Below are 26957 nucleotides of genomic sequence, written 5' to 3' on the forward strand. Positions count from 1 at the left end.
AATAGATAAATCCTGTAGTAATCATGATTAGAGGGGAATTTATTGTAGCATTGTAGCACAGTGAGCCATTAGGTGCCCTGATAAACTTCTAATTATAGTTCTTCACAAATCTTGAGGTTGTCCTCCAATACCCACCTGAGAATGTTTTCTGCCACTCAAATGAGTTGGAAATATAGTCTATTTCTGCTTTACATTTCCTTATTGTTTATCTGGGTTCCGAAGCCATCCTTATCTCCATAGTAGTAGCAGCTGTGCTACCACTTAGGGGAAACCTGAGGAGGAGAAGGGAAAGAAGAGTTAATGATTGCCCACCATCTTGAAGTACATATGTCCACATCGAGTCTTTACTAGGACATTTTCATTCTCCTAATGCAGCTGGACATTGCAATGTGCTAGACATACTGTTTTAGGCATCCTAAGCTCAGAGTCAGCTAAAATTTCATTAAAAAAATTTTTTTTGGTCGTTGTGTTGCCCAGGCTGGGGTGCAGTGGTGTCATCATAGCTCACTGCAGCCTCCAACTCCTGGGCTCAAGCAGTCCTCCCACCTCAGCTTCCTAAGCAGCTGGGACTATACGCACCTACCACCATACCCAGCTAATTGTTTTATTTTTTGTAGAGATAGGGTCTTGCTGTGTTGCCCAGGCTGTTCTTGAACTCTTGGACTCACGTGATCCTCCTGCCTCAGCCTCCCAAAGGGCTGGGATTACAGGCATAAGCCATGATGCCCGGCCAAAATTCTCTTTTTCATCCATAGAAACTTCTGGAAAGCCAAGCTGGTCTTTGTTTAAAATAATAATAACAATAGGCCGGGCACGGTGGCTCACACCTGTAATCCCAGCACTTTGGGAGGCTGAGGTGGGCAGATCACAAGGTCAGGAGATCAAGACCATCCTGGCTAACATGGTGAAACCCCATCTCTACTAAAAAATACAAAAAATTAGCTGGGCGTGGTGGCGGGCGCCTGCAGTCCCAGCTACTCGGGAGGCTGAGGCAGGAGAATGGTGTGAACCCAGGAGGCAGAGCTTGCAGTGAGCCGAGATCGTGCCACTGCACTCCAGCCTGGGTGACAGAGCAAGACTCCATCTCAAAAAAAAAAAACCAAAAAACAAATAATAATAATAATAATAATAATCTTGGCCGGGTGCAGTGGCTCACATCAGTATTCCCAGCACTCTGGGAGGCCGAGGCAGGCGGATCACTTGAGGCCAGTAGTTCAAGACCAGCCTGGGCAACATGGCAAAACCTCATCTCTACTAAAAATACAAAAAATCAGCCAGGAGTGGTGGCACACACCTGTAATCCCAGCTACTCGGGAATCTGAGGCACGAGAATCACTTGAACCTGGGAGGCAGAGGTTGTAGTGAGCCGAGATTGCCCCACTGCACTTCAGCCTGGGTGACAGAGCAGGACTCTGTCTCAAAAAAAAAAAGTTGTTTTTTTTTTTTTCTTAAAATCTCTATCTAGGACTTAATTTTATCTGACATATTTCACATCATAGCCCTAGCCTGTCAAGGTCTTTTTGGATTTTGATTTCATTATCCAACATTTATATTATCTGAGAATTTGACATGCACATCATATGAAAATTTAACAAGTTTCAGGGAAATTTTGAAGAGGTTGGGGCCAAGTGCTGCACAAGCATGCCGCTAAAAACTTCTTTTCCGGTTTATTGAACAGAGACGTATATAGTGCTGACGATATGCTGGGCGCTGTAATTTGCATGACAAGCCATTGAGGTGCTATGATTACATTCATTTTACAAGTAAGGAAATTGAAGCACAGAGATATCCAGTTCATGCACGTTTTTTTTTTTCATAGATAGAGTTTTGCTATTGTTGCCCAGGCTGGAGTGCAGTGGTGCGATCTCGGCTCACTCACTGCAATCTCCGCCTCCTGGGTTCAAGTGATTCTGCTGCCTCAGCCTCCCAAGTAGCTGGGATTACAGGTGTGTACCACCGTGGCTGGCTAATTTTGTGTTTTTAGGAGAGATGGGGTTTTACCATGTTGGCCAGACTAGTCTCCAACTCCTGACCTCAGGTGATCTGCCCACCTCCGCCTCCCAAAGTGCTGGGATTACAGGCCACCGCACCCAGCCCCCACGCCCAACCCAGTTCGTGAATTATACCATGAATGTGCTTATTCAGAAACCTAACTCTCCTAAAATCCAATCTTTTCACGCAGATATTATGATATTTTCATCAAATGCCTTTTCAAAATGAAGATATGTTCCCAATCTACTTGTCCAAAAATACCTTCTCCCTCAATACCTCCACCTAACCAGCAAAGTGAGGTCAGGTAAATGAGACTTGTTCTTGAGGAAACCCAAGTCAGTACCTCATTGCTACCACCTCTTTGTAAACTGTTGGAAATACAAAAATGCTGTACTGAGAATTTTCTTTCTTCCTTTTCTTTTCTTTTCTTTTTTTTTTTTTGAGACAGAGTTTTGCTCTTGTTGCCCAGGCTAGAGTGCAATGGTGTGATCTCAGCTTAATGCAACCTCCGCCTCTCGGGTTCAAGAGATTCTCCTTTCTCAGCCTCCCGAGTAGCTGGGATTACAGGCGCATGCCACCACGCCTGGCTAATTTTTGTAATTTTAGTAGAGACGGGGTTTCATCATATTGGTCAGGCTGGTCTCGAACTCCTGACCTCAGGTGATCTGCCCACCTCAGCCTCCCAAAGTGCTGGGATTACAGGCGTGAGCCTGAGAATTTTCTGTTACAAGTGCTGTATTACATATATTGTTATTTACATACCTTATCCCATTTACATATGTTATCTTAATCCTTATAGCAATGTTTTGAAATATGTACAAGGTCACATTGCCATTAAATAGCAGAACCAAGATTTGAGTCTCCTAGAATTTTTGCCAGGAACCAGCCTCCAGCTCACCTGCTCGTGTATGTCCTAACCCACGTTTTTCGTCTTTCTTGGAAAGTGAGTGCCTTGGCTTCTTTTTATCTTTAGTCAGCTTCCTGTTCTCCATTATCTCTCCAAGGTAACTGACAGGAGCTCTGTGTTCCCATCTGCAGACTCTTTCAGTGTTCTGGGACTGGGATTATCATCCATTTAGACCTAGGAGCTTCAATTCACTGGAAAGTCCAGATAAGCCTGAAACTTCTCAAATATCTCATATTCTCTTTTCTTTCTCAAAGTCACCTCTTAATCATGTTTCTTATTTGAATATTATTCTCTTGATGGAGGACATAGAGACCATTTTTAGTGAGTTTATTTCTCAGTAAGAAGAAATCCATATTAAAACTCTTAATTTCAGATTATCTAGTTAGAGTCTGGCTAAACTGAATCATTATTGCCTAATTCAGCTTTCTTGGCATTATTAAAATGTCACTTCATTTTATATCTCATTTTTTTATTAATAGACTAATTCCATATTTCATTTGATTGACTCTCTGTGAAGTATGGGCTTATAATGAAAACAATAGGAGTTTCCACAAAGCAGTTTATAAGTATATAATACCTTCCAGCAGGCTCTAATCCTGTCCTGCTAATCCAATTTGTGTTTAAGTAGCTCCTTCATGTCAAGGATGGCACTACCAGCTCACCTTCCCAAGCACGGATGATAAAAAAGACTGCCTCCACTCCCTCTTATCTCCTCCTTTTCATTGTTAAATGCATGAGGAGGTGTGGGGCTGTCTAAGCCACTGCTTGCTGGGCCACAGTAAAAATATGCCAAGTAATGCACCGATTTCTGATGTAACTCCATGACACTGGGTGAGGCCAAGAAAGTAGGCACTGAGGAGGAAGAGGCATGATTCCATAGCTGCCATTTCAGTTGAATGGATATTTAAACAATTCTTTAAATTTATTTACTATTTAAGTATTTAAGTATTTAAATGTAAATACTAATCAATACTTAAATAAATACTGAGTACCTACTCAACTAGTTGCCATGGCAGGCAGGAGGGAGACAAAAATGGTGGCAGATCCCCAACCTGGAGGAGACACAAGCTGTTGTTGAGAGTGGCAAAAAGTAAATAGCTATGATCCAACAAAATAGGTCTATGAGAACATATTTCTTTTTTAATCATTTGGTTCTGAGTGGGGTTTTTTGTTTTTGTTTTTTTGAGAAGGAGTCTCGCTGTTGTCGCCCGGGCTGGAGTGCAATGGTATGATCTCGGCTCACTGCAACCTCTGCCTCCTGTGTTCCAGCAATTCTCCTGCCTCAGCCTCCCAAGTAGCTGGGATTACAGGCGCCTGCCACCACGCCCAGTTAATTTTTGTATTTTTAGTAGAAATGGGGTTTCACCACGTTGGCCAGGCTGGTCTCAAACTCCTGACCTCAGGTGATCCTGCCTCGGCCTCCCAAAGTGCAGGGATTACAGGCGCGAGCCACCGTGCCTGGCCAGTTCTGAGTATTTTTTAATTGTCATTTATTTGGTCTCTTGCTTGAAATATAACATACAAAAGAGTGCTTCCCAAAGTCTATGATGAAGAACCAGTTTAGTTATCCAATCCATTGTGGACTGATACTTTTGTAAAATACAATACAAATGAATTGCTATAAAAATTAAATGCTGGTTGGGTGACAGCAATGTCAGGTGCTACAGAAGTTTCTAAACTGTTACTCTCCAAGGTTGCACTTAATCATAGTGGCATGGTAAAGTTTCAGGGACTGAGACTGGGCCACAAACCATAGCTTGAGTAGCAAGGACTTAAATTTCCAAGTGTAGGAGAGTTTTTTGTTTTTTGTTTTTTTCAATTTATCTTTTTGTTGCTGAGCTCTAGCGTAGTGACATGGTGGGTGGTTAGAGAAATGTGATGTGAATGGTGATGATTCTTTGAAATTTGTCATTCTGCTTCATGACCAACTACATTAGCCATTTTTTGTAACTGTTCCATGTGCTGAAGAAGAAAGTATATTTTCTACTTACTAGATGCAGAGTTCTATATATTTTCTATTAGACCAAGCCTGTTAATTATGTTATTCAAATATACAAATCTTTACCGACTTCTATCTGCTTGATGTGTCAAAAATTGAGAGAGTCTAGTTGAAATCTATTCTCCAATAGAAAATTTGCCAATGTCTTTAGGTATATACACATTTAGAATTACTACATATTCCTGGCATATTGATTCATCTATTTCTATGTACTGACCATCTTTATCCCTTATAATGCATTTTGCTTGAATGTTTATGTGGTCTGATCGTAATACAGCAACATCAACTTTCCTTAGGTTGGCATTTGCTCAGTGTAACATTTTCATCCTTTTGCTTTCAAAGTGTCCATATCTTTGTATTTTAATTACGTCTCCTATTTTTAAAAAATTTCTATATCCATGTTGACAATTTCACTCTTTTTTTTGAGATGGAGTCTCGCTCTGTCACCCAGGCTGGAGTGCAGTGGCATGATCTCGGCTCACTGCAAGCTCTGCCTCCTGGGTTCACGCCATTCTGCTGCCTCGGCCTCCCGAGTAGCTGAGACTACAGGCGCCTGCCACCACACCTGGCTAATTTTTTGTGTGTTTATAGCAGAGATGGGGTTTCACCATGTTGATGGTCCGGATCTCCTGACCTCATGATCTGCCCGTCTCGGCCTCCCAAAGTGCTGGGATTACAGGCATGAGCCACCATGCCCAGCCGACAATTTCTCTTTTAACTAGAATGTTAATCCATTGTCTTTTTTTTTTTTTTTTTTGAAACGTAGTCTCACTATGTTGCACAGGCTGTAGTGCAATGGCACGATCTTGGCTCACTGCAACCTCTGCCTCCCAGGTTTAAGCGATTCTCCTGCCTCAGCCTCCCAAGTAGCTGGGAATACAGGTGCCTGCCACCACACCTGGCTCATTTTTGTATTATTAGTAGAGATGGGGTTTCACCATGTTGGCCAGTCTGGTCTCGAACTCCTGACCTCAGGCAATCCACCCGCCTCGGCCTCCCAAAGTGCTGGGATTACAGGCATGAGCCACTGCACCCGGCTAATCCATTGACTTTTAATGTAATTACTGACGAGTTTCACTTTAATTACACCATTATATTTCATAATGTTTTCCCACCTGTTTCATGTTTCTTTTTTCATCTTTCTTTCCTTTTAAAATATATATATATTTTTAAATTTTTTATTATTTATTTTTATTTATTTATTTATTTATTTTGAGACGGAGTCTCGCTGTGTCACGCAGGCTGGAGTGCAGTGGTGCGATCTTGGCTCACTGCTAGCTCCGCCTCCTGTGTTCACGCCATTCTCCTGCCTCAGCCTCCCAAGTAGCTGGGACTACAGGCGCCCACCACCATGCCCAGCTAATTTTTTCTATTTTTAGTAGAGATGGGGTTTCACTGTGTTAGCCAGGATGGTCTCAATCTCCTGACCTCGTGATCTGCCCGCCTTGGCCTCCCAAAGTGCTGGGATTACAGGCATAAGCCACTGCACCCAGCCAAATTTTTTATTTTTTGAGACTGAGTTTTGCTCTTGTTGCTTGTTGCCCAGGCTGGAGTGCAGTGGCATGATCTGGGCTCACTGTAACCTCTGCCCCCCGGGTTCAAGCAGTTCTCTTGCCTCAGCCTCCTGGGTAGCTGGGATTACAAGTGCCTGCCACCACGTCTGGCTAATTTTTTGTCTTTTTAGTAGAGATGGGGGTTTCATCATGTTGGCCAGGCTGATCTTGAACTCCTGACCTCAGGTGATCCACCCGCCTCGGCCTCCCAAAGTTCGAGGATTACAGGTGTGATCTACCATGGCTGGCCAGTTTGTTTATTTTCTTAGTTCATTCTTTCCTCTCTTAGTTTATAAGTTAGGACTGTGTTTGTAATTTTTATTGGTTACTCTTGAAATTTTACTAAGCACGCTTAACAATGCCTAAAATTAATCCATATCTTTCTTCTGGACAGCTCAAGAACCTTGGAAAACTTTAAATCCAGTTATTTCTCTCGCACTGTATGCGTTATTTTTGCTCAATATTTTAGTTATCTCTCTTTAATCCTATACATTTTATATTATTGCTATCTACAGTATTTCTTTATATTATCTTACATATTTTCCCACTTTTTTTTTGCTTATCATTTGTTTTGTATCTCAGATCTTCCTGGGGTCAGTTTTCTTTCTCTTCAGGTGCAACTTTCAGAATTTCCCTATAGCGAAAGTTGGTTGATCATAAAGTTTACATTTTTGTTTTTTTTGAAAATGTCTTTATGGCCTGGGTGTGGTGGCTCACACCTGTAATGCCATTACTTTGGTAGGCCAAAGCAGGCAGATCACCTGAGGTCAGGAGTTTGAGATCAGCCTGGCCAACATGGTGAAACCTTATCTCTACTGAAAATATAAACATTAGCTGGGCGTGGTGGTGCGCACCTGTAGTCCCACCCTCAGGAGGCTAAGACAGGAGAATTGCTTGAACCTCAGAGGTGGAGGTTGCTGCGAGCCAAGATCATACCATTGCACTCCAGCCTGTGTGACAGAACGAGGCTCTGTCTTGGGGGGAAAAAAGTTTATAATAAAAAAAATTTCAAAGGATGGGTACCTTGTTTTGGAACAGTTGACTATGTTCTCTAGAGTGCCATCCTACTGTAAAAATGGATACATTTCAACAAAAGTCCTTTTTTTTCCCTTGGTATACTGAAGTTTTACTAAAATGTGACAAAGTGTGGATTTATTACTCTTTTTCTCCCTCCCTTCCTCCCTTACATTTTTGCTTCCTTTTTGCTTGGTATAAGTTGTGTTTCCTATATTTGTAGATTCATGTCTTTTATCCATTTTGTAAAATTTCCATTAGCAATTCACATATGGCCTCTGTTTCTCCTTTCTATTCTTTCCTTCAGAGATGCTGAGTACACGTAGTTGGAAACTTCATTCTATCCTCCTTCTCTCTTAATATCTTCTCATATTTTCTTCTTGTTTCTCTGTGTTACATTCTCAGTTAGTTCTTCATGTTTAATTTCCAGTTTTCTAATTCTGTCTTCAATTGTGTCTAATCCGTTTAACCCATCCTCTGAGGTTTTTTGTTTTTTGGTTTTTGTTTTGCTTTTTTTTTGAGACGAAGTCTTGCTCTGTGGCTCAGGCTGGAGTGCAGTGGCATGATCTCGGCTCACTGTAACCTCCGCCTCCTGGGTTCAAGCAATTCTCCTGCCTAGGCCTCCCAAGTAGCTGGGATTATAAGCATGCACCACCACGCCCAGCTGATTTTTGTATTTTTAGTAGAGATGGGGTTTCACCATGTTGGCCAGGCTGGTCTCAAACTCCTGAGCTCAGGTGATCCACTTGCCTCGGCCTCCCAAAGTACTGGAATTTCCGGTGTGAGCCGCCATGCCTGGGCCATCCTCTGAGTTTTTTATTTTAATTATTATATTTGTTATATCTGGAAGTTCTATTTGGTTCTTCTACATATCTGCTTGGTATATTATGAATCTGATAAATTCAGTACTTTGGGGTGTAATTTTTTTTTTTTGAGACGGAGTGTTGCTCTGTCACCCAGGCCGGAGTGCAGTGGTGCGATCTCAGCTCACTGCAAGCACCGCCTCCTGGGTTCATGCCATTCTCCTGCCTCAGCCTCCAGAGTAGGTGGGACTACAGGCGCCTGCCACCACTCCTGGCTAATTTTTTGTATTTTTAGTTTCACCTTGTTAACGAGGATGGTCTTGATCTCCTGACCTTATGATCCGCCCGCCTCGGCCTCCCAAAGTGCTGGGATTACAGGCATGAGCCACCGTGCCTGGCCATAAATAATTTTTAATCTAAAGAAGAGAAACTTTGATTAAACTTTGGGACACTTATTTACTTTCCCTCATCAACAATCATGGATTATTATGTCATGATTATGAGTGGCAAAGTCTTATATGCCTCAAGAAAACATAACATTATTGAGTGCTATGGCATTCTATAGAGAACTTCAATCTTTGGTCATAGCATTAAGAGTTCTTGGTTTCATAGCCTCATGAGCCCTCTTTGAAATAACCTATCTAAATCATTTTTTGTTGTTTCTGCTGACTCTTACTTATGGCATGAACCCATATGTATATTTTATTCACATCAGATCTGTAATGTGCCAACGTTGCAGCAAGATTTGAAGGAGGTACATCTCACACAATAGCATGAGAAGTCAATCATCATGCTTGTGAACCACAAAAGGATCATGAACCCATATTCATTGGAATTAATTCAATCAATTCTTAGATCCCAAGAGCTTAGAGTGAGAAGGTTTTCCTCCAAAGAAAATTTGTGTTTGCTCCTACTGAAAGTCAAAGATATTACTAATGTGGGAGTCTCAATTTACTCTCTCTAACCTTGCAGTGGTCTCAAGGCTTAGTATTCTGATACTAGGTCTGATATAGGTATTTGATTCCCCGTGTCCTTATTTTTCTTTCACAAATCAGAATTCAACCTATTGCTTTTTGTTATTCCTCTGCTTCTGGAAAATTCTCTCTTTTTTTTTTTTTTTTTTTTTTTGAGATGGACTCTCACTTTGTTGCTCAGTCTGGAGTGCAGTGGCTCAATCTTGGCTCACTGCCACCTCTACCTCCTGGGTTCAAGCAATTCTCGTGCCTCAGCCTCCCGAGTAGCTAGGATTACAGGTGCCCACCACCAGGCCCAGCTAATTTTTGTATTTTTAGTAGAGACAGGTTTCACCATGTTGGCCAGGCTGGTCTTAAATTCCTGACCTCAGGTGATCCGCCCGCCTTGGCCTCCCGAAGTGCTGGGATTATAGGCGTAGGCCACCGTGCCCAGCTGAAAATTCTTTTACATTTTACTGAGCCCAAAAATGCATTAAAAAGTACTTTTGTTGAAATGTATCTATTTTTACAGTAGGATAGCACTTCAGAGAACATGGTCAACCATTCCAAAACAAGGTACCCATCCTTTGACATTTTTTTTTGATTTTCCGAGACAAGAGTCTTACTCTGTCGCCCAGGCTTGGGGTGCAATGGTGCGATCTCTGCTCACTGCGACCTCCGCCTCTCTGGTTCAAGTGATTCTCCTGTCCTCAGCCTCCTGAGTAGCTGGGACTGCAGATGTGCACCACCACACCTGGCTAATTTTTGTCTATTTAGTAGAGATGAGGTTTCACCATGTTGGCCAGGCTCATCTCAAACTCCTGACCTCAAGTGATCCACCCACGTTGGCCTCCCAAAGAGCTGGGATTACAGACTTGAGCCACCCCGCCTGGCTTTTTTTTTTTTTTTTTTTTTTTTTTTTTTTTTTAAAGACAGGGTCTTGCTATGTCACCCAGGCTGGAATGCAGTTGTTCAATCATTGCTCACTGCAGCCTCAACCTCCCAGGCTTAAATAATCCTCCCACTTCAGCCTCTTGAGTAGCTGGGACCACAGGTGTGTGCCACTGTGCCTGGCTAATTTTTTTATTTTTATTTTGTAGAGATGGGGGTCTCTCTATGTTGCCCAGGCTTGGTTATAAACTTTAAAACAATTAGTCTAAAATTCATTCTTACACATTATTTAAAAAGCCAAATAGTTATAAAGCAACCCCCAACCATTATTGTTTCCCCCTTTCCAGAGACAATCCCTTTTACCTGTTCTGGCTTATTCATATGCCATTTTCTTCAATATTTCTAAATAATACATTTTTTTTTTTTGAGATGGAGTCTCGCTCTGTCACCCAGGCTGGAGTGCAGTGGCACAATCTCTGCTCACTGCAACATCTGCCTCCCAGGTTCAAGCAGTTCTTTGCCTCAGCCTCTCCGGTAGCTGGGATTATAGGCGCCCAGCACCACACCTGGCTAATTTTTTTGTATTTTTAGTAGAGACAGGGTTTCACCATCTTGGCCAGGCTGGTCTTGAACTCCTGACCTCGTGATCTACCCACCTCGGCCTCCCAAAGTGCTGGGATTACAGGCGTGAGCCACTGCGCTTGGCAATAATACATTTCTTAAATTTTTTTTTTTCTATTTCAGGCATGATATATTGACTCCTCACTATGGAGAATGAGGATTTATCATTCCTCCCTCTCCACCTTGTCTCTGCCACGTGTGAACCTTGCCCATCCCCCAGTTGTCCCAATACAATTATATTTTAACTTTAGTAAGGTTAATATTCAGTGTAAAAACTATTTAGAGCTGAACTATATAGTAATAAATGATTATCTTTCTATTTCTGCCAGACCTATTGTTTTCCATGGAGGTGGAGTTCATAATTGCCTTTTTTTTTCTGGCTTAGCTTTCCTTTTTTTTTTTTTTTTTTAATTATACTTTAAGTTCTAGGATACATGTGCACAATATGCAGGTTTGTTACATATGTATACCTGTGCCATGTTGGTGTGCTGCACCCATTAACTTGTCATTTACATTAGGTATATTTCCTAATGCTTTCCCTTCCCCCTCCCCCAACCCCACAACAGACCCTGGTGTGTGATGATCCCCTTCCTGTGTCCAAGTGTTCTCATTGTTCAGTTCCCACCTATGAGTGAGAACATGCGGTGTTTGGTTTTTTGTTCTTGTGATAGTTTGCTAAGAAAGATGGTTTCCAGCTTCATCCATGTCCCTACAAAGGACATGAACTCATCCTTTTTTATGGCTGCATAGTATTCCATGGTGTATATGTGCCACATTTTCTTAATCCAGTCTGTCATTGATGGACATTTGGGTTGGTTCCAAGTCTTTGCTATTGTGCATAGTGCCACAATAAACATACGTGTACATGTGTCTTTGTAGCAGCATGATTTATAATCCTTTAGGTATATACCCAGTAATGGGATGGCTGGGTCAAATGGTATTTCTAGTTCTAGATGCTTGAGGAATCGCCACACTGTCTTCCACAATGGTTGAACTAGTTTACACTCCCACCAACAGTGTAAAAGTGTTCCTATTTCTCCACATCCTCTCCAGCACCTGTTGTTTCCTGACTTTTTAATGATCGCCATTCTAACTGGTGTGAGATGGTATCTCATTGTGGTTTTGATTTGCATTTCTCTGATGGCCAGTGATGATGAGCATTTTTTCATGTGTGTGTTGGCTGCATAAATGTCTTCTTTTGAGAATTGTCTGTTCACATCCTTCACCCACTTGTTGATGGGGTTGTTTTTTTCTTGTAAATTTGTTTGAGTTCTTGGTGGATTCTGGATATTAGCCCTTTGTCAGATGAGTAGATTGCAAAAATTTTCTCCCATTCTGTAGGTTGCCTGTTCACTCTGATGGTAGTTTCTTTTGCTGTGCAGAAGCTCTTTAATTAGATCCCATTTGTCAATTTTGGCTTTTGTTGCCATTGTTTTTGGTGTTTTAGACATGAAGTCCTTGCCCATGCCTATGTCCTGAATGGTATCGCCTAGGTTTTCTTCTAGGGTTTTTTATGGTTTTAGGTCTAACATTTAAGTCTTTAATCCATCTTGAATTAATTTTTGTGTAAGGTATAAGGAAGGGATCCAGTTTCAGCTTTCTACATATGGCTAGCCAGTTTTCCCAGAACTACTTATTAAATAGGGAATCCTTTCCCCATTTCTTGTTTTTGTCAGGTTTGTCAAAGAACAGATGGTTGTAGATGTGTGGTATTATTTCTGAGGGCTCTGTTCTGTTCCATTGGTCTGTATCTCTGTTTTGCTACCAGTACCATGCTGTTTTGGTTACTGTAGCCTTGTAGTATAGTTTGAAGTCAGGTAGCGTGATACCTCCAGCTTTGTTCTTTTGGCTTAGGATTGACTTGGCGATGCGGATTCTTTTTTGGTTCCATATGAACTTTAAAGTAGTTTTTTCCAATTCTGTGAAGAAAGTCATTGGTAGCTTGATGGGGATGGCATTGAATCTATAAATTACCTTGGGCAGTATGGCCATTTTCACGATAAGATTCTTCCTATCCATGAGCATGGAATGTTCTTCCATTTGTTTGTATCCTCTTTTATTTCACTGAGCAGTGCTTTGTAGTTCTCCTTAAAGAGGTCCTTCACTTCCCTTGTAAGTTGGATTCCTAGGTATTTTACTCTCTTTGTAGCAATTGTGAATGAGAGTTCACTCATGATTTGGCTCTCTGTTTGTCTGTTATTGGTGTATAAGAATGCTTGTGATTTTTGCACATTGATTTTGTATCCTGAGACTTTGCTGAAGTTGCTTATCAGCTTAAGGAGATTTTGGGCTGAGACGATGGAGTTTTCTAAATATACAATCATGTCATCTGCAAACAGGGACAATTTGACTTCCTCATTTCCTAATTGAGTACCCTTTATTTCTTTCTCCTGCCTGATTGCCCTGGCCAGAACTTCCAACACTATGTTGAATAGGAGTGGTGAGAGAGGGCATCCCTGTCTTGTGCCAGTTTTCAAAGGGAATGCTTCCAGTTTTTGCCCATTCAGTATGATACTGGCTGTGGATTTGTCATAAATAGCTCTTATTATTTTGAGATACATCCCATCAATACCTAATTTATTGAGAGTTTTTAGCATGAAGGGCTGTTGAATTTTGTCAAAGGCCTTTTCTGCATCTATTGAGATAATCATGTGGTTTTTGTCTTTGGTTCTGTTTATATGCTGGATTACCTTTATTGATTTGCATATGTTGAACCAGCCTTGCATCCCAGGGATGAAGCCCACTTGATCATGGTGGATAAGTTTTCTGATGTGCTGCTGGATTCAGTTTGCCAGTATTTTATTAAGGATTTTTGCACTGATGTTCATCAGGGATTTTGGTCTAAAGTTCTATTTTTGTGTGTGTGTCTCTGCCAGGCTTTGGTATCAGGATGATGCTGGCCTCATAAAATGAGTTAGGGAGGATTCTCTCTTTTTCTATTGATTGGAATAGCTTCAGAAGGAATGGTACCAGCTCCTCCTTGTACCTCTGGTAGAGTTTGGCTGTGAATCCGTCTGGTCCTGGACTTTTTTTGGTTTGTAAGCTATTAATTATTGCCTCAATTTCAGAGCCTGTTATTGGTCTATTGAGGGATTCAACTTCTTCCTGGTTTAGTCTTGGGAGGGTGTATGTGTCCAGGAATTTATCCGTTTCTTCTAGATTTTCTAGTTTATTTATGTAAAGATGTTTATAGTATTCTCTGATGGTAGTTTGTATTTCTGTGGGATCGGTGGTGATATCCCCTTTATCATTTTTTATTGCGTCTATTTGATTCTTCTCTCTTTTCTTATTAGTCTTGCTAGCGGTCTATCAATTTTGTTAATCTTTTCAAAAAACCAGCTCGTGGATTCATTGATTTTTTGAAGGGTTTTTTGTGTCTCTGTCTTCTTCAGTTCTGCTTTGATCTTAGCTATTTCTTGCCTTCTGCTAGCTTTTGAGTTTGTTTGCTCTTGCTTCTCTAGTTCTTTTAATTGTGATGTTAGGGTGTCAATTTTAGATCTTTCCTGCTTTCTCTTGTGGGCATTTAGTGCTATAAATTTCCCTCTACACACTACTTTAAATGTGTCCCAGAGATTCTGGTATGTTGTATCTTTGTTCTCATTGGTTTCAAAGAACATCTTTATTTCTGCCTTCATTTCGTTATGTACCCAGTAGTCATTTAGGAGCAGGTTGTTCAGTTTCCATGTAGTTGAGTGGTTTTGAGTGAGTTTCTTAATCCTGAGTTCTAGTTTGATTGCACTGTAGTGTGAGAGACAGTTTGTTATAATTTCTGTTCTTTGACATTTGCTGAGGAGTGCTTTACTTCCAACTATGTGGTCAATTTTGGAATAAGTGTGATGTGGTGCTGAGAAGAATGTATAGTCTGTTGATTTGGGGTGGAGAGTTCTGTAGATGTCTATTAGGTCCGCTTGTTGCAGAGCTGAGTTCAATTCCTGGATATCCTTGTTAACTTTCTGTCTCGTTGATCTGTCTAATGTTGACTGTGGGGTGTTAAAGTCTCCTATTATTATTGTATGGGAGTCTAAGTCTCTTTGTAGATCTCTAAGGACTTGCTTTATGAATCTGGGTGCTCCTGTATTGGGTGCATATATATTTAAGATAGTTAGTCTTCTTATTAAATTGATCCCTTTACCATTATGTAATGGCCTTCTTTGTCTCTTTTGATCTTTGTTGGTTTAAAGTCTGTTTTATCAAAGACTAGGATTGCAACCCCTGCCTTTTTTTGTTTTCCATTTGCTTGGTAGATCTTCCTCCATCCCTTTATTTTGAGCTTATGTGTGTCTCTGCATGTGAGATGGGTCTCCTGAATACAGCACACTGATGGGTCTTGACTCTTTATCCAATTTGCCAGTCTGTGTCTTTTAATTGGAGCATTTAGCCCATTTACATTTAAGGTTAATATTGTTATGTGTGAATTTGATCCTGTCATTATGATGTTAGCTGGTTATTTTGCCTGTTAGTTGATGCAGTTTCTTCCTAGCCTCAATGGTCTTTACAATTTGTCATGTTTTTGCAGTGGCTGGTACCGGTTGTTCCTTTCCATGTTTAGTGCTTCCTTCAGGAGCTCTTTTAGGGCAGGCCTGGTGGTGACAGAATCTCTCAGCATTTGCCTGTCTGTAAAGGATTTTATTTCTCCTTCACTTAGTTTGGAAGTGAAGTTTGGCTGGATGTGAAATTCTGGGTTGAAAATTCTTTTCTTTAAGAATGTTGAATATTGGCCCCCACTCTATTCTGGCTTGTAGAGTTACTGCTGAGAGATCCACTGTTAGTCTGATGGGTTTCCCTTTATGGGTGACTCTGGCTTAGTTTTCTGTCAATACCCACTTCATGACTAATTGTCTGAATCTCCCCTTCGCATGTTCAGAAGCATCCAGTATTCTATCGGTTCATTTCTTGGAGAAGTCTCTCCCTGAACCATCCAGTCCCTTGAAGTCTGGGCTGCTGGTCCTTCAGGCAGTGGCACAACTGGAATCCTGAACTCTCCCTTCCCCACCATTCTGGGGATTCCCTTCACTTTTCCCTTGTGATCAGTGTCCTGTTTTCTACATCCTATGACTTTTCATTTCTAGGTATGTTTCTGTGTTGGGGTGAGGCATATCCGCCAATGGCTCCTGAGAAACGGCTTCCTTCTGAAGCATAGAAGCAACTTATATGAACATAATCTCATTTTTTTTCTAATTTGGCTTGTAAAGAGTAGAGATCTATTTGGAGTCTAAACCAAAGAATTGTGATTTGAGGAAGGCCTTTTTTTGGGAATCTAAGTTAATATTCTAGGATGTCACTTGTGGGCAACTTAATTTGATACCAGCAGTCTGAGTTAGTGGAAAGGGTAGAGGGCTTGGCAACAGAAAACTCATTTAAATTTCCCAGTTTTGACACTTGCTAGCCAGGGAATTTGAGTCCTGTAATCTCATGAGCCTCTGTTTCTTTAATCTATCCCATGAGGTTGGTGATAATGAAACACACACCACCCACCACAGGGCCAGCTGTGAGGCTCAAACAGAAAAGCCCTTTGTAAACTCTGAAATGCTACATAAATAGTGTCTTTTTTAAAAAAAAAACAAACAAAAAACAGCGGTGTCATTTTTAAAGAGGGTAAAGCTTAGAAAATTTAAGAGAGTGAGTAATTAGTATGTCCCTTAAGGTATCTCTTTAACATACAGGAGCATAATTTGATAGTCAGGAACTTTAGAGCCGTATTGCTTGTGCCTGTGTCTGGATTCTGATAACATTTTGTCCTAACAATGTGACCTTGGGGAAATTAATTCCACATCTTTGTACCTCCATTTCCTCTTCTGTAAAATAAGAGTAAGGATGGTAAGAGTAGTATTCCACCCCACAGAATTAGATTAAAGGGGCCTGACATTTGTGAAGTGCTGAGAGCTGTGCCCAGCACATATAAGTGCTATGTGAGCATTTGATAAATCCATAAATAGCCATTGTCTTAACCGTGCTCCCAAACAAGTGTCTGAGAGCATCAGTTCAAGTCTCTGGTGATTGATTGCTTTAGAATGCCAAGACTTACTGGTATTGATTATTACCTTAGAGTCCTGACTCTCACAGGGTAATATATTGGGACAGATAGGTTTTCTCTCTAAATATCATGGAGTTTGCCAATTTTGCTATTTTTTAAGCTTCCCCCCTCAATGGTAGACAAAGAAAAGACTCTAATGCCAGAAAAACGCCACTTTTCCACTTAAGCTCCTATATAGATTTCTTAACATGAGGGGGCTGGAAACAGCCATCTGAGAAAGATGTTACTTATTTTTTTTCCCTCCAGAAGCCAGAGAGAAAAATAAGTCATTTTATTGAACTGCTAAACAATAGATTTTTACTTTGCATTATTGTGCCAGATACTTGAGCAGTTCTCGGAAGAAAGGGAAAAAGAAAAAGTCCAGAGAAGGCAGCACCATCTGGCTGAGGACAGTTCAGAGCAAGTGGGAGCTGGGCTGGAGGCTGGACACTGAGCAAGACCCACACACAGTGACCCTTCCCCACCGTGGGAAACAGGAATGGGAGGGCAGCTGCAGGTGGGCTGGGATTGTCTGGGGAGAGCTGGCCACCCTCAGTAGAGGGGGCAGGGGAAGCACCTGGTTGAGTGGGGATCAGAGCAGCCGCTCTCTTCTCAGCCAGCTGCTCCACGTGGCAGAGTACTCAGGACAACCAGGAGGGCCGCCTTGTTGCAGCTGCCTTCCTCGGTGAAACACAGAGGAAGGCAAATGCCTTCTAAGTGGCAGTCAGTGCTTTGGCAATCCCTCCACCCCACACCCCACCCTACGCCCCACCCCTGGAGTTTCTCAACTGGGCCATGCTCTTTGAATGCTTCTCCTGCCAAGGCCTAAAAGAAGGTGAGTGGTTGTGGAGGCGAGAACAACTGGAGGCTGTGCTGTAGAGAAGGGAGTGCAGCTATGACCCCCACAGTGAGCCCCTTCCTAAGTGCCTCTTCCCCAAACAGAAATTCCTGCAAGGCCTCCTGTAGTCACCTGTTAGACTGCAGAACCGGGGAGGCACTCCATTTGTCAGTGTGAGTTGCTCAGAAAGAAACGCCCAATATCATTCAAAGTTATTGGCTTATTATTAGTCTTTATTATTAATTTATTAGTACTCTTTATTATTATTACTTTAATTGCCATACAGATGGAGGGTCCTTTCCACCTGAGCATATATATTCTCTCTACTTTGTGCTCTCATTTATACTTCTTCTTGTGCACATGTGCATACATAACACACACACACACACACACACACACACACACACAAAGTACGTAGACCTTAAAGCCCCATTTATGCTTACATAGACACACCGTACACATACACGAATCCATTTGGCTAACTTTTAAATTCCTCAGTGCTGTCACTTTTGTTGAAATAAATTAGTGGAGTGGCTAGGTGTATACTTCCCACAGCGAGCCAGTGAACTAATGTGCAGGGAATGATTAAATGTATACAGGGGCATGGGGAGCCAACTCCTCTTCAATAGGGGTGTGAAATTAGGATGGGAAGGCTCCTCTCCCAGGTGCCTTGCTTTTATTAAAAGACTTAAGAGCTCAGGAGATGTCTTCAATAGGAATTAGGATATCTGAGTCTTTCTGGAACAGTGTGGAAAGCTGAACTGTGCTTAGGAACTCTGCAAGGTCTTTTTGATCCTTAAAGGTTCTGATATAAAAACCTATCCAGGTTTTTATAAAAGTAGTAAAGTGTTTTCAGTCTTTTATTAATCTCTTCATACCCTTAAATAACCTTTCCCCTTTTGAACAGTAATTGTTAAAAAATAAATAAAAAACAACAAAAAATTTTTTCTCATTGTTTTATTCTTCAAACCAGGCATCCTCTTAATGCAAGGATTCAAATATCTCTATTAGGGTCATAATAGTCAGCAATTTCCATTTAATGAGATCAGCAAAGTCTCTTTTCAAAGAGATGCAGGCTTTAAATTGCCAGTTATTTCTTTTCCTGCAATTCCTAGGAATCCAATTAAGTAAGACTGAGTATGATCTATAATGTGATATATCTGGCTACAGAAAGCCCGGGCCTAGGCAATAAAACAGATCTTTGAGCTCCAGCTCAAAATTAAGATTAAAAAAAAAAAAAAGAAAGAAAATGCAGCTTAAATGATTCAAAGCTTTATAAATGTGGAAACTGCATCCATTTCCTCTAATATGAAGTAAGAAATAGCTTCGAGACTATGGTGAAAATCATTAAAGTTACTTATTCCAAATATAGCTACTAATTAAAATCTCTCCGTTGGACCAGGACCACAGGTGATTTTTACAAAATAAATTTAAGAGGTTTTGGTTTGCTAAATCTGTGACTAACGAATCAAATATGTGGCCAGGCGCCGTGGCTCATGCCTGTAATCCCAGCACTTTGGGAGGCCGAGGCAGGCAGATCACCTGAGGTCAGGAGTTCGAGATCAGCCTGGCCAACATGATGAAACCCTCTCTGCACTAAAAATACAAAAATTAGGTGGGCATGGTGGCACACACCTGTAATCCCAGCTTCTGGGAGGCTGAGGCAGGAGGATCACTTGAACCCAGGAGGTGGAGGTTGCAGTGAGCCAAGATTGCACCACTGCACTCCAGCGTGGCTGACAAGAGCAAGACTCCATCTCAAGAAAAAAGATTCAAGTGTATATAACCACTGCCAAAATAAAGAGAAGATAGTGTGAAATCATGCAGAGAACATGCTTCATATCAAAACATAGTATTCTTTTCAGTTTTTAAAAATTTCATTTGCCACAATTTATAACAGTATTAAATACTATATTTTCATTTATTATTATTATTATTATTATTATTTTGAGATGGAGTCATATGCTGTCACCCAGGCTAGAGTGCAGTGGTGCTGTCTTGGCTCACCACAACCTCCACCGTCTGAGTTCAACCAATTCTCATGCCTCAGCCTCCCGAGTAGTTGGGATTACAGGCATGTGCCACCACACCTGGCTAATTTTTGTATTTTTGGTAGAGGCAGGATTTCACCATGTTGGCCAGGCTGATCTAGAACTCCTGACCTCAGGTGATCCATCTGTCTTGGCCTCCCAAAGTGCTGGGATTATAGGTGTAAGCCACCACACCCAGGCTAAATACTATGTTTTTAATAATAAATCAGTGGGTGTATTTTAAGTCATAATTTAGTATTCTGATTTAGAGACAGAGTTCAGCAATAATATCATACTTTTGCCATGTATTTTTAAATATATCAAAGCTTCTCAGGATGGTGGTAGTGGTGGTTTAAATCTTATTCTGTACCGGCTATGCAGGCCGCATGGTGTTTTGCTGATAACAGAGGAGGAAAGTGTGGCTCGTGAGGAGCAAATGTCAAGTCAGGAATTAACTCAAGACACAGCCTGCCCTTCTACTAAAAATGTGCTATTTCAAATATGTTTTTGCAATTTCCTCCATGTAATGCAGTTGTGTTAGCCATTTATTGGTCAGAAATTAACCTCCAAAAGTTAACAGTTGGGCCCTGAATTCTCAGCCAAGTCTAGTCTAAGAAGCAGCATATTCTTGGGCAAGTTATTGATTAACTCCAGGTAATTAAACCAAAAAGACTTTTCTAGGGCCAGGGATAGTGGCTCACACCTGTAATCCTAGCACTTTGGGAGGCTGAGGAGGGAGGATCACTTGAGGCCAGGAGTTCAAGATCAGCCTGGGCAACATAGTGAGATCCCACCTCTACAAAAGAAAAAAAAATTACCCAGGCATGGTGGCATGTGCTTGTGGTCCCAGTTACTCAGGAGTCTGAGATGGGAAGATTGCTTGAGCCCAGGATGTTGAGACTGCAGTGGGCCATGATCATGCCACCAAACTCCAGCCTGGGTGACAGAGTGAGAACCTGTCTCAAAAACACAAAAAACAAAAACTCTCCCTAAACATCTGTCAAAAGAGCTCAAAAGCCTAGAGAGAAAGATGAGCCAGGTGCTGGCCGGAGATAAAAGGCCAGCTTTGTCTTTGGTTTCCCAAAGACTATTCAAGAATTGGAGGGTGAATTCTTGGAGCCTCCAGGGGTAGAAGAATGAAACTAAGGTTGAACACCAATAGGCATTCTGCTGAGCATTTCATCTAAGCCCCCTGCCATTTTGCAGGGGAAGGCTGATAACCTGGCCCAACTGGTGCAGGTCTGCAGGGCATGGGGCAGGGTGGAATGTTGTCAAGAGTTTCTCTTTCCTAGAGCTGTGGATGGATAGGTACACAGGGGAAAGCAAAGTAGAGAGGGCCAGTAAGTGGAAAAAAACTGTTCCACATAGTCAGAGCAAAGGGAGCCTGAAGTAGGTATGAGAGCCCAAATTTGTGGTCAAGACATAAGAGGATTAGGAAGAACAGACCTAGGAACTTCTACTGGTCAGGGCCATCATGGCTCCCTGTGCTGGCAGCCATGATTGGGCTGCTTCACTGGAGACATGCTGCATGCCATCAGCCTTCAACTTTGAGGGCCACAGGTGGGGTGGGCACTAACACATCTCCTTCCTGGGTTTGGCTGGAGGACAGTGGCCTCCTTGAATTTTGGCCCATTCCTAAACTGAAGGCAGTTCCCCACCATAGTTCCTTCCAGCCTCTCCCCTTCCTAAGAGGGCCAGGCTGTGGAGCTGACCATGGTGCTGAAGATGATCTGAGATTGATTCCAGAGAACATTTAGGGAGTACTTCCTGTGTGCTAGCACTATTTCTAAGTGCTCTGCATGGGTTAACTCATTTCATGTTCATAGCAATTCTATGAAAGAGGTGCTATTATTCTCCCCATTGACAGATGACAGATAAGGAAAGTGGAATACAGAGAGGTTAACAAACTTGCCCAAGGTCACACAGCTAATAAGCAAGGAAGCCAGGCAGAGCTGCACTTTGATCACCACATTTGCTAATGAAGGTTATTAACAGAGCCACACAAAACCTCCTGGATTTTCACTTGTCCAATATCATCCTAGCAGAAGTGAGCCAAGGTTCCCCATCTCAAGTTGCCAGGCAGGTTGCTGTGGGGTGGCATCTTGGAGAGTCAGACACAGTAGTGTAGACTGGTTGGGTACAAGCAAAAGTGGGCAGCCCACCTACTCCATCTAGTCAGTCACCACACCCTAATGTTATGACTTACTTCATACCTGCTTCCCTGGTAGGCTCTTGGCTTTGTGAAGAGGGTGCCATCGTATCCCCCATTGCTTACCAGGGTGCCCAAGACATAGTCATAGTAGGTATTCAGCAAATATTTTATGAATAAATGGGTTACATGTGATCAATATATGGTAGCTGTTATTAATTTGCTATTATTTCAACATTGATAGAAGCACCATGTTGTAGAAATTATAGTCCCTTTTTATTTTATATTTGTCATGCCCCACTTTGGGAGTTATATAGAGTTCAGAGTGCATCTTAGTCTCATATAGATGCATGTGTGGAGACAGAAATGAAAGAACTCAAGTCATGAGTTGAACGATTTTAATGCCTAAATACATGTATGACTGAATTTTTGTTATATGTTAGATTTGGGATCTTACAGTATATTTAAGATTTAAGATCTTATAGTATCTCAGGAAGATAGTTCCACTGACATGAAAATAACTCTGAACTGTCTCTTTTAGAGGATGTATAAGCATTCCATGTTAACAGAACTTGCAGTGGCAGTTAGAAAATATTCCAGTCAAATTTCTGGTTTTGGAGCTGAGTTTATTGCCTGTTTGTTGTTTGATCTTATTCAAATCATGTTTTTGTTGTGTTGTATTAATATATAAAAGATTTCTGTGTCTGCCATGTTAGCTGTTTGTGTGTGTGTGTGTGTGTGTGTGTGTGTGTTTAAACAACACTCCACAGCTGAGCTCTTGGAGGACCAGGCCTATTTTGACAGCTCCCCTTAGTCCATGTATCACCAAGCTCATTCTCTGCCAATACGTTCCACGTGATTTTGTGGACATGTGTAGCACGCCTGTGCAACTTGCAAACACCCATACATTATTACAATAATAATTGGGTTTTGATGCAACTGGAACTCAGTACTACCAAGCTGCCAGCATTTCCTTTTGGCTACCAGTACTAGGCAGGAAAATTATAGCCTAACTGTCTTCCTGTTTATTGATAAACAAAGTGGCCAGCCCAGCAATGGAGCCTGATTAGCAGTTTGCACCCTTTGTGAAAGGATAAACAGAACCCTACTGTTTTCTGTGTTTGACTGCAATTTGCATCTTTAAAGAGGTTGGACTGCCCTGAGATTCATGTTCAACTTGAGTGCCTGGATGTTCTTTGATATGTTACATGTCAGCCTCCTTGTTTTCCTCTCCTTCATCTTGAAACAATATTTGCCAGAGTTTCTCTGTTCCCATCTGGCTTACCATAAGCTTCCCCATAGTCACCTATCTGAAGAAGGAGGGAGGGAAGAGGCAGGAGAAGAAACGTCTCTGTTTCACTGCGCTCAAATTTTACATTCCCAGAAGGCCCTTTAATGTCATCTCAATTCCATTTTTTGAAGAGATAGTAATATAAGAATGAAGACCAAAAGACAAAAGAGAATCTGCTTACTGCTCTCTTTGGCCCATGGGATCATGTTTGGGCTCGTTCCCCCTCCATCATCTTCACTCACTCAGCAAAAAGTGCCTTCCCCCTTTGTAAAGTGAAATGTGGTATTAGTCACCTACCTCAAGTTTGGTGAGTGTTCTGTTCTGAAATTTATTCTAACCTAATTAGATTCTTAAACTAAATGGTAACAGAGCAAATAGTTGGCTCCCTCTGTAATTATTTTCCAGTGAAAGAAATGAAGATCATTTTAATTGGAATTTGCATGATGTAAAAGAGAGTATTAATACATGTAAACATCCATTAATCTGTTTAAACAAACTTTCCCCTTAATCCTTACCGTATGTAAACAACATTTGTTTTGCCTTAGAGATATTGCATGATTGGACCCACGAGACTCCAGTTATCCCACTGAACAGTTACGTTTTATAACTTCAAAAGAAATGTTATATATTTATTGGAGGTTGTAGGGTGTTAAGTGTAGTTAGACATAAATTGTACCTCAGCTATTTTGTTAATGCCAATAGGGATTAAATTAGATTTTTATAGCTGCTGTAGAAGTCTATTTGGTAGTTAACAAGTGGGATTTTTAAATCCTGGGAAACATAATCCTATTATAACACAGGCAGCTGAATTAACATAACCCAGGAAGGGACTCTTCGTGGATTAGCATTTTTTGACAATAACAAAGAAAATCATCAAATTGTGTGGGGATATTACATGCTTTTCTCAAAAGTAAGAACAGCGAATTGGGAAAAGGAAACGAGAAATGGCCAAACATGCTATTTCTTAGAGACCGTTTCTTTTTAAGGGAAAGACAGTGGAGGCTGGGCAGTAAGCTGAATAAATGTCTGCTATTTTCTGTGAAGTCAGTAATGCTTTTTCAGTTATTATTAAACTCTTGAATCTGAGAATTATAGAGCTGGAAAGAACTTTGACATTTATTTAATTTTTATAGTCCTATTCAAATATTTACTTCAAACACTTCAGAAAGATGGATATATCTCACATATATACATATATACACATACATATAAATATATACACGTATATTGCATGATATACACACATTCACACACACACACACATACACACACACTTAATAGTATATGAGTGGCCTTTTTAAAGAAGAGCCTTTCTTAAGTCTTAGCAATTGGTTTTCACATGCTGGTGAGGGTGATTATTAGAGCTTGCAGGACTTGCCAATTTTCATTTGCACGGGTATCATCTTAGCAGATAATCACATGGGCATCAATCACTGGCATATTATTGTGTTAGATAATTGCATGGGCATCAATCATGTGTGTATCTGGAGCAAGTCATCATGTGGGCTTCAATTTCATCTATCTGGAGGAAGGTAATTGTGTTGGAAGCAGGGAAGGGTGTGTCTACATGGCAGATAATCACATGGGGATCAATCACATAGATATCGAGGTAGATAATCCTGTGCAGATCCATCACATGTACCAAAGTGGCTAATTACGTGGATATCAATCATGTCAACACCCTGGTTTTCTGGTACAGGTTACACGTGAAGCACACATGTTGTGTGCCTGCTTATGTGGGAGAACAGGTCAGATGTCGCGTGCACCCACCCAGGGGCCTGCAGCGGTGTGGTGTGTGAGGAAGCTGAGCCATTCAGAGCGTGGCCTTCCTCCACAGAGCGCTGGAAATGCCATGATTAGGGATCCTGTTGGGATTCTTTTATTTTAAGGCTTTGGCTCCTGCCAAAAGGAAATGTTCCTGGGAGGAACATGACTGCATGTAGAAGAACGTGCAGTTTGTCGTCCTCCCCTCACTGGCATCTATTTTTCCCTCCTTCAGACCTTGCCTCCCAATTCCTTCTCACCCACATGGTTTGGGTGTGGCTTCAGCCCCAGTGGAGTCTGGGGCTCAGGGCCAACCAGTCAGTGCACTGCATTCCACTGGCCACCATGATTGGTTCAGGCCAGACCACATGACTTCAGCCAGTCCAATCAGAGTGAATATCAGGCTTTTTGGGGAGAAATTTAAGGGAGAGTTCATTTCTCTCTGAATTTTACCTGAGGAGGTGAGATTGGCGCTGCTGCTGCAACCAGTGCCTGGGAGAGGCTGATATGTCCAGGCCCCAACAAATGGAGCCAGAAATGAAGCCACCTACAGAAATCAGATCTGAGAGGTGGAGAGAAATCCTGTCCTGAGGATACTGCTTGGGCCTGATTTCAGCAGTCCCTGAAGCAAAATCCCTGGCCTGGAAAGGCTCACCTGAGCCAATACAATCCCTTTTGGCTTAAGACATAATTGTTTGGCCGGGTTTGGTAGCTCACGCCTGTAATCCCAGCACTTTGGGAGGCCGAGGTGGGTGGATCACCTGAGGTCAGGAGTTCGAGGCAAGCCTGGCCAACATGGTGAAACTCCGTCTCTGCTAAAAATACAAAAATTAGCCTGGCATGGTGGCGCATGCCTTTAGTCCCAGCTACTCAAGAGGCTGAGGCAGGAGAATCGCGTGAGCCCAGGAGGCAGAGGTTGCAGTGAGCCAAGATTGCACCACTGAACTCCAGCCTGGGCGGCAGAGTGAGACCCTGTCTCAAATTAAAAAACAACAACAACAAAAAAAAAAAACAAAAAAAAAAAAACGTAATTGGGTTTCTGCCCCCTTGCTTCAGAAGACCCTAACTGATAGGATAAAATCATCTGAGTCTTTCCTGAAGAACAAAGTTTCATAGGAGCAGCCCCAGTAGGGGAAGGAGCAGCTCTGAGGGTGTAAGTGAGGGCAGAAGGGGAAGCTGAGGCTTAAATAACATCACCGTCGCCCTTAGTATAGGCCTTGAGCTGCTCTTGGCAACTGTCACCAGGTGCCCCCCCTCCACACGTCCCTGTTGGAGTGCCCCAGTCTCCTGGCCTCTAAGCATCTGAGCTCAAGCTGTGAGGAACGTTTGTTAAAGACTTTTAAATGCAGGCTTAATGTTTTCCCTTTTCCCCCTGCCTATTCTTATTACTTTGATATTTATCAAATACAGTTTGTAATATTAATTACACATTAATGTTGAAGTGCAGTTCCCATCACCAAAATAAATGAAAAAATAGGTGTCCTCATGGCAAGAACCATACTGTTCCAAGGCATTCTTTTATTGCCATTTCAGTAGACAGTTGGATTTTTTTTTTATCAGCCTGAATGTGACATCTGATAATTATTGATTTGGAAAGAGATAAAAGTTTTGGAAAAGAAAGTAATAGAAAAAAAAGAATTCTCCTTGAAGTTAAATAGACTATTTCTTGGAAAAGCAAAATGGGAGTTTATATGCTTTGTCTACCAAATTCTGTGTGGCTAACAGCTTGTGCCTTTTCTCCTTCAGTTTTTATTCTTGTTAATACTGTCACTTTCTGCGTATGCTAAGGTTTATAAGAAGGTAATGTGACAGTTGATAGAAACACCTAGTAAGAAAACACGGCCGGGTGCAGTGGCTCACACCTGTAATCCCAGGACTTTGGGAGGCCGAGGCAGGCGGATCACCTGAGGTCAGGAGTTCGAGACCAGCCTGACCAACATGGAGAAGCCCCTTCTCTACTAAAAATACAAAATTAGCCAGGCATGGTGGCGCATGCCTGTAATCCCAGCTACTCGGGAGACCGAGGCAGGAGAATCTCTTGAACCTGATAGGCGGAGGTTGCAGTGAGCCAAGATAGCACCATTGCACTCCAGCCTGGGCAACAAGAGTGAAACTCCATCTCAAAAAACAAAAAAACAA

At 41.7% G+C, this 26957-nt stretch overlaps 1 protein-coding gene, 1 long non-coding RNA gene, 1 other non-coding gene and 1 pseudogene across 12 annotated transcripts in view; 1 reads left to right on the forward strand and 3 right to left on the reverse strand.

Annotated features, from left to right (window-relative positions):
- CLYBL (citramalyl-CoA lyase) overlaps positions 1–26957 on the forward strand; it is a 302755-nt gene that overhangs the window by 168387 nt on the left and 107411 nt on the right. The window lies entirely within an intron of this gene.
- Positions 1–26957, reverse strand: part of CLYBL-AS3 (CLYBL antisense RNA 3) — a 216296-nt gene that overhangs the window by 34207 nt on the left and 155132 nt on the right. Inside the window, exon 2 of the long non-coding RNA NR_120421.1 lies at positions 136–272. This is a non-coding gene — a long non-coding RNA (CLYBL antisense RNA 3). The remainder of the gene's footprint in view (positions 1–135; positions 273–26957) is intronic.
- Positions 8781–8907, reverse strand: LOC124900342 (uncharacterized; annotated as a pseudogene).
- LOC124903263 (small nucleolar RNA U13) lies at positions 8978–9081 on the reverse strand. Its single transcript, XR_007063962.1, has one exon. It is a non-coding gene; the product is annotated as a small nucleolar RNA U13 (small nucleolar RNA).

This window comes from Homo sapiens, chromosome 13, assembly GCF_000001405.40.
Source record: "Homo sapiens chromosome 13, GRCh38.p14 Primary Assembly".
Lineage (NCBI taxonomy): Eukaryota > Metazoa > Chordata > Mammalia > Primates > Hominidae > Homo > Homo sapiens.